This window comes from Homo sapiens, chromosome 10 (genome assembly GCF_000001405.40).
Source record: "Homo sapiens chromosome 10, GRCh38.p14 Primary Assembly".
Classification (NCBI taxonomy): Eukaryota; Metazoa; Chordata; class Mammalia; order Primates; family Hominidae; genus Homo; species Homo sapiens.
Genome location: NC_000010.11, coordinates 697,297 through 705,761, shown reverse-complemented (window position 1 = coordinate 705,761; position 8,465 = coordinate 697,297). Strand labels below are relative to the sequence as shown.

The following is an 8,465-nucleotide window of genomic DNA, read 5'->3' as shown; positions in this document are numbered from 1 at the left end:
ACTGTGCAAGTCAGGAGAATGGTCTGTCTTGGTAGGAATGAGGGAATTGCAGTCAGGAAGTGATGCATGAAGGACTTTTAGGATGACAATCATGTTCAATGTCTTGACTTGGCTCATGGTTAGTTGGATTTTCAATCATTTAAGTGCTACCTGTAACATTTATTCACATTTCTATATATTTTGCAAAAGAAATGAAAATCAATTTTAGAACCTGGTTGAGAATTAGTTGGATTTCTACTTATTTGTTAAATATCAAAGTATTTATGCACATCTCTGCATATGTTATTTTTCCCCATAAAAATTGTGTACCTGCATAATTAGACTTCCAATGAAGCAATTTCCAGACTGATTCCATTTCCTACGGGCAAGTACACTGTGCTTTTCTGATGTTTCCTTTGGTGTTCACTTCACATTTCTTTTTTCTTTTTCTTTTCTTTTTTTTTTTTTTTTTTTGAGACAGAGTCTCACTCTGTCGCCTGGGCTGGAGTGCAGTGGTGCGATCTCCGCTCACTGCAAGCTCTGCCTCCCAGGTTCACACCATTCTCCTGCCTCAGCCCCCCAAGTAGCTGGAACTACAGGCACCCACCACCATGCCTGGCTAATTTTTTGTATTTTTAGTAGAGGCGGGGTTTCACCGTGTTAGCCAGGATGGTCTTGATCTCCTGACCTCGTGATCCACCTGCCTTGGCTTCCCAAAGTGCTGGGATTACAGGCGTGAGCCACCGCACCTGGCTTCACTTCGTATTTCTAAATAGTAAGCTCATAGTGCTAGGTCTTTATTTTTAAATTTTAGATACTACTTATTGACAGTCTACATCCCCCAGATGAGGACTTGGCTGTCTTTTTTTTTTTTTTTTGAAACGGGGTCTCACTATGTTGCCCAGGCTGGTATTGAACTCCTGAGCTCAAGTGATCCATCCACCTCAGCCTTCCAAAGTGCTGGGATTACAGGTATGAGCCACCTCGCCTGGCCCAGTCGGACTTGGCTTTCTAATTTTCCTCTTGCTCTCTATGCTCACACACAAACATTTCCTATCCTGTTCCTCCCTAAATATTTTGGTTTTTGTTTATGTCAATTCTCAGAATTTACATTATTATGACTATGTAAATATCATTTATCCCCAAAATAATTCAACCTCCATCTCCTCTCAATATGCCAATTCTATCAGTTTCATTATTTTTGTTGGAGACATCCCTCCAGAAATACTTATCCTTTTCCTCCAATCTGGACTTGTGTTTACATTATATGCACATGAAAATATTTTTCACAGACTTCTACTGCCAGCCATGACACAGACTTGTCCACTGGAAACAACTACAGCATGGGCAGCACAGGAGACGAGGCATTTTAGGCTTTGAAAAGTGTGTGTTGGGAGTGTCATCTGGTTGGGCATCTCGACCATGAGCTCGCCCACTTTATTTATTTTTTTTAAAGGCAAGACTGGATGCAGTGGCTCATGCCTGTAATCCCAGAACTTTGAGAGGCTGAGTTGGGTGGATCACAAGGTCAGGAGTTTGAGACCAGCCTGACCAACATGGTGAAACTCTGTCTCTACTGAAAATATAAAAACTAGCCTAGCGTGGTGGCACATGCCTGTAGTCTCAGCCACCCAGGAGGCTGAGGCAGGAGAATCGCTTGAACCTGGGAGGTGGAGGTTGCAGTGAGCCAACATTGCACCACTGCACTCCAGCCTGGGGGACAGAGCAACACTCTGTCTCAAATAAAAGCAAACAAACAAACAACAACAACAAAAAAAAAAAAAACAAGAAAAATGGGCATCACAGGGGAAGAGAAACTTACGAGATGAGCCCTTGTTGCCTGCCACTGCTCTGGCTTTCTGCCTGGGTGCTCTCCTGCTGCAGGGGAGGGAGGTAGAGTCAAGCAGGATGGTGATCTCCTGGAGCTGAGAAGGAAGAGACTGAAGTTCAAGTTTTTGAAGCGGTTGGATTTGTTTGGTGGGGTTTCTGAGAAGGGGAAACACACAGATAGAAGCCCCCAGAAACATGCATGGGGCTTCAGCATGGTCCCTCAGCTCGAGTCTGGGCTGACAGGTGAAGGGCAGGACTCTGTGGGGCTTAGCAGGTATTGCCTACTGCAGGCCATGAGCTAGTGGTGACAAAGGAAGCAGGCAGTTTTGGGAGACACTGGAGTACCAGCCTCAGCAGTGGAGAAACCTCACTGAGAACTTTGGAATGGAGTTGAGTTCCCAGAAAGGCCAAACTTTAAGTGTAAGTCCCACACTCTAGAGTAAGGATCATATCATAAAAATACTTTCTAAACCAAAACAGACCCACTCTAGCAAAGAATAGACCTAAGGCTGAGAAGACCAAAAGTAAGTACCACTAATTCCACTGTCTGCCAGAACAAACACAACACCCTGTAAAGAAAGAAGACATGAGCTTCTCTGTCTACAACATATTGTACACAATGTGCAGCATACAACAAAAAATTACTAGATATGGCTAACAGTATGGAGGTTCCTCAAAAAAACTAAAAATACAACTATCGTATGATCCAGCAATCCCACTGCTAGATATATACCCCAAAGAGAGGAAATCAGTACATAGAAGAGATATCTGCACTCCCACTTTATAACTGCACTATTCAAAATAGCTAAGACTTGGAAGTAGCCTATGTCCATCAACAGATGAATGGATAAAGAGAATGTGGTACGTGTATACAATGAGTACTATCCATCCACAAAAAGAATGAGATCCTATCATTTGCAACAACATGGAAGGAACTGGAGGATATCATGCTAAGTGAAATAAGCCAGGCACAGAAAGACAGACTTTGCATGTTCTTACTCATTTATGGGAGCTAAAAATTAATCAAACTCATGAAGATGGAGAGTAGAATAGTGGTTATCAGAGGCTGAGAAGAATAGTGACGAGTGCAGGAGAAAGTGGAGATGGTTAATGGGTACAAAATACAGTTCGAATGAATAAAATATAGTAATTGATAGTAGACTGACTGCAGTCAACAATAATTTAGCACGTTTAAAATAACTTAGAAATGGGTATGGTGGCTCATGCCTGTAATCCTAGCACTTTGGGAGGCTGAGGCAGGTGGATCTCCTGAGGTCAGAAGTTCAAGACCAGCCTGGCCAACATGGTGAAACCCCATCTCTACTAAAAATACAAAAATTAGCCCAGGCGTGATGGTGGGCGCCTGTAATCCCAGCTACTGGGAGGCTGAGACAGGAGGATCGCTTGAACCCGGGAGGTGGAGGTTGCAGTGAGCCAAGACCGCACCATAGCACTCCAGCCTGAGTGACAAGAGCAAAACTCCATCTCAAAAAACAAAAAAACAACAAACTTACAAAGTATAGTTGGAATGTTCATAACACAAAGAAATAAAAAATGTTTTAGGCAATGGACACCCCATTTACCTCAATGTGATTATTTCACATTGCATGCCTGTATCAAAATATTTCATGTACCCCATAAATGTATACACATACTATGTACCCATAAAAATAAAGAATTAAAAAATTTGAAAAATTAGATGTGCAAATAAATGAGGAAATATAAGCCATCGTCAAGAGAATATGCAGTTGAAGGAAACTGGTCCCTAGATAACCTAGATGTTGGAATTAGCAAGCAGCCCTCTCCAGAAACTATGACAAATTCACATCTTTGTCACGGCTACTGGAGTGAGTGAGCAAATGGGGAATCTCAGTAGAGAATTCTAAACTACAAAAAGAGGGGAAATTAGAAAACTGAAAAGCACAATATATAAAATAAAAAATTAACAGGACAAGTTTAACAGAGGGTTGCAAATGTTAGAAGAAAGGGTCAATGAACTATTTAATCTGCAGAACAGAAAAATTATTAAAATAGAACATGAACAGAGTCTCATAATCTTTAGGACAATATCTATCTCTCCAACACAAGTGTGAGAGAAGTTTGGAAGGAAAAGAAAGAAAGGAGTAGAGAAAATATGTTGGAAGAAGAGCTGAGAATTATGTGAAGCTTTGAAAGACAAGAACCCACAGATCACAGAAGCCCAGCAAACCCTACGCAGGATAAATATGAAGAAAACAGCACCGAGGCACATGAGGGTGAAACTGTTGAAACCAAAGGGAAAGAGAAGGTCTTGAAAGCAGCCAGAGAGAGATGACAATTCTATCCAAGTGGATGATAACACGAATTAGGGTTGATTTTTTCAAAAACAACGGAGGCCAGAATACAATGGGATAAGATTTTAAAGAGCAGAAAGAAGCAGCTGTCAACCCAGAATTCTAAATCCTGTGAAAATATCATTTAAAATTGAAGATGCAGTAAAGATATTTCGCTCCAAGCATAATTGTATTACAAGAATTCTAAAGGAAGTTCTTCATGACCCTAGATAGAAATTCAGATCTATAGGAATGGATGAACAGCCTCTAGAATGGTAAATAGAAAAGACTTCATACTTTACATTTTTTCTTCTAATTTTTCAAAAGTCATATTACTGGTAACCCAAATAGTATCTCACTGCTTTGTGAGGTTTATAATGTACGAATATATAATATATATGACAACAATACAGAAAGCAGTGCAAGGACATGTAAGAAAAAGGGAGTTAAAATGAGATACTAAAAAATTTTGACTAGTCCAAAAGAAGTCAGGAAAGGAGGAACAGAAAAACAAAATACCGAAAACAAATAGCAAAATGCTATCCCCAAGTCAAACCACGTCATCACATTACAAGCAAGGGTTATCCAGAGCTTAGCATCTGCTATCACCATGGATCCTTTCTTTTTGTTTTTCCTAAAGTTAATTGCCTTATTTGTCCTATTAGATTAGTTTCTGTGTAGCCATTTGTAATTTTCCCCATTCCTTAAAAGAGGCTCTCACACAATTTTCAGCCAGGCTAATCACATCCGTTAATATGTCAATTCCAGTTTTTAATTATTTTACTTTTGCAGGGAAGACATCTTCCCATGCGTCATATTTTCTTCCGTGTGGAGGGAGCTCTGTTCATTCCTAGCCTTTCTTTACATACACACACAGGTGCATGCTTATGCGTGCACACACACCACGCACAGGTGCACGCCGATGCCTGCACACACACCACACACAGTGCATGCTCATGCACATACCCACACACAGTGCAGGCACAGGCATGCACACACAGCACACACAAGTGCACACTCATGCATGCACACACACCACACACAGTGCACGCTCATGCATGCACACATACCACACACAGGTGCACGCTCATGCATGCACACACACCACACAGTTGCACGCTCATGCATGCACACACACCACACACAGTGCATGCTCATGCACACACACCACACAGTGCACACGCATGCATGCACACACAGCACACACAGGTGCACACTCATGCATGCACACACACCACACACAGTTGCACGCTCATGCATGCACACACACCACACACAGTGCATGCTCATGCACACACACCACACAGTGCACACACATGCATGCACACACAGCACACACAGGTGCACACTCATGCATGCACACACACCACACAGTGCACGCTCACGCACACACACCACACAGTGCATGCTCATGCACATACACCACACACAGTGCACATGCATGCATGCACACATAGCACACACAGGTGCACGCTCATGCACACACTGCCCAGGAGAGTGGAGGATTGACCCGACTGTTGAGAGTGAAGAAGAAATGGGTGTGCACAGTCCGGAGGTGGCTCCTCTTCTTCCTCGAAGGGGTGACTGTGTGTGCAGGAAACTCCCCCGTCTGTTCTCCAGGGTGGTCTCTGCTTGACAGAGGAGCCAGCCCCAGTGCAGAGGGGCTTCCTGTTACTGCAGCTCATTTTTATGGGCCAGTACTAGGAAGTGCGCTTCTCTGAAGAGCTAAGACACATTCACTAGTAGAAGTTTTATGATAATGAAAGGGAATATTTTGGTCTCAGAAAATTATAACCAGAGGCACTGTCTGTCGGAGTAGCCATCCATTTACTAAGGTGACCTGAAATGTGTGATGTCAAATGAAACTGTCTGGCAGCCCATCAGTTAATCAGCAGATGAGATGAGCAGGATCCGTTTCTCATATTCTAGAAATAAAACCCGTCTCTTTTGTAATCGCCTGTTCGTTGCCTTTTAGTTTCTTTGTTATTCAAAAATTGTAGAAGTTGTGTACCATATGTTACTAATAATTTCTTCCACTGCACTCCACAGCTTTGGTTCATTCATTTACCGTGTGAGAGTTAACCCTCTGTAGTTTCCGATGCTCAGGATGCAAAGTCTCTGCCTAAATTTGTTTTCCCTCATATTAACATCTGTTATGGGGTGAACTGTGTCCCCCAAAAGAAGATAGATGGAAGTCCTAATCCTTAGCACCTCAGAGTGTAGCTATTTTGGAAATAGGGTGTTTGCAGATTTAGCCATGTCAAGATCAGGTCGTTACTGTGGGTCCTAATCCAATATGACTGATGTCCTCATAAAAAGGGGACATTTGGAGCCAGCACAGTTGAGGGAAGACGGCAGTGCGGTCATGGAGTCAGAGGCTGGAGGGATGCGGTGATGAGCTGCCAAATGCCAAGCACTGCAGAGCTCCCAGGAGCTGGAAAGATGGGAAGGATCTACCCCTCCAGGAGTCAGGGAGAGCAGGGCCCTGCTGACAGCTGGATCTCAGACGTCCAGCCCCAGGACTGAGACAAGACCTTTCTGGGGTTTTGTTTTTCCTTTTATTGATTAATTGACTGATTGACAGGGTCTCCTTCTGTCACCAAAACTGGAGCGCAGTGGCACAATCATAGATTACTGCAATCTCAAACTCCGGGGCCAAGGTAGTCCTCAGCCTCCTGAGTAGCTGGGACCACAGGCACGCCACCACGCCTGGCTAATTGTTTTCATGTTAATCTTTTGTAGAGATGAAATCTTTCTGTGTTGCCCAGGCTGGTCTCAAGGGATCTGCCCTCCTTGGCCTCCCAAAGTGCTGGGATTACAGGCATGAGCCAGCGTGCCTGGCTGATGTCTGTTGCTTAAAGTCACCCAGTTTGTGGCACTTAGCTATGGCTGCCCCAGGAATCTGATACAATGTCTAATTTCCAATTTTTAGTATATATGCTGCTGAAGCGAGCACAGTATCTAATTTCCACAGCAATGTTTAAAAACAGCATTTTGGGCTGGGCGTGGTGGCTCACGCCCGTAATCCCAGGACTTTGGGAGGCCAAGGCGGGCACATCGCTTGAGGTCAGGAGTTTGAGACCAGCCTGGCCAAAGTGGTGAAACCCCGTCTCTACTAAAAAATACAAAAATTAGCCGGGTGTGGTGGCACACGCCTGTAGTCCCAGCTACTCAGGAGGCTGAGGCAAAAGAATCGCTTGAACCCAGGAGGCGAAGGTTGCAGTGAGCCGAGATCGTGCTATTGCACTCCAGCCTGGGCGACACAGTGGGACACTGTCTCAAAAACAAAACAACAAAAAAACCTACAGCATTTTGCATCCCTATTGTTTAAAAAAAATCTGATTTATCATATCTTAAAAATCATGAGTTCAACTCTATTTCTGTCTGCATTTGTCTTTTGCTTCATCCATCTCTTCCCCTGTTGCTAACACGGATCTTTCTCCGTGAGAGCACACCCTCTGTGTTCCTATCCCTTGTCTGTCCTTCCCTCCGTTCCTGACCTCTTTCTTTCCACCCTCGAATCTTTTTCTTTCTCTCTTTCCTGTGCTTCAGAGTATTTTCATCTAACGTTCTGCGGAGGCCCATGGTTGGAGGGAGTGACAGCCGCGCCTTCCCGTGAAGGGAATGGAGTAGGTGCCACACAATGGGCGTGCCCACCGGAGACCCGAGCAAGAGTGAATGATTTTCAAATTAACCTCCTCGTTCTTCACCTTCCTCAGGAACACGCTACTCATGGTACTTGCTAAATTCTGCTTTGCTCTCCTGTGAGTTTTTTGCACAACTACTTTTTCCTGGGGTCTAAACTCCTTGAGAAACCACGTGCAGCCCTTGGTGAGGCTGGAAAGGAGGATGCTAGAGGGGCTGCAGGAAGGGGTGCGTGGGTCTGAGCCTGCGGGGCTGGGGCAAGCTGTTACGGGGGCTGCAGGAAGGGGGACGTGCGTCTGAGCCTGCGGGGCTGGGGCAAGCTGCTTTGGGATAGGCGGTCTCCTCAGTGCCCTCCCCTGTAGCTGTGGGGCGTCAGGGGGTGTCTGGTGCAAGTGCTTTGGCCAAGACTCTGTGACTGTCTGCCTGGCCACGCTTTCCCATCTGGGGTCAGATTCCCGAGGAGCCTGTGCGTGCGGAAACCTTGGCTTTGGCGTTGCATGAAGGCCCCGCGGGGAAATGTCCTCAGTGAGCATCCAGAGAGGCGTTCCAGGAACGGGGATCCAGGGCCCCGTGTGCCCGTTTCTCTCTGAGCCAGGGCAGGGTGAGGAGTGGGGAAGGAAACCGGAGCCTGGTCAGGCTCACGGAAGCCGCGTGCAGAGCGTGACAACCTGCCAAGATCCCCCACGCCCACACCGGAGG

The 8,465-nt window shown here is 45.0% G+C and overlaps 2 annotated features.

Moving 5' to 3' along the window:
- Positions 4,799 to 5,299: an enhancer, noted in NCBI's record as "H3K4me1 hESC enhancer chr10:746403-746903 (GRCh37/hg19 assembly coordinates)". NCBI's record gives its function as "activates a minimal SCP1, AML or CMV promoter by ChIP-STARR-seq in naive H9 embryonic stem cells {active_cell/tissue: H9 hESC(naive)}" and the evidence as "EXISTENCE:reporter gene assay evidence [ECO:0000049][PMID:30033119]".
- Positions 5,300 to 5,800: an enhancer, noted in NCBI's record as "H3K4me1 hESC enhancer chr10:745902-746402 (GRCh37/hg19 assembly coordinates)". NCBI's record gives its function as "activates a minimal SCP1, AML or CMV promoter by ChIP-STARR-seq in naive H9 embryonic stem cells {active_cell/tissue: H9 hESC(naive)}" and the evidence as "EXISTENCE:reporter gene assay evidence [ECO:0000049][PMID:30033119]".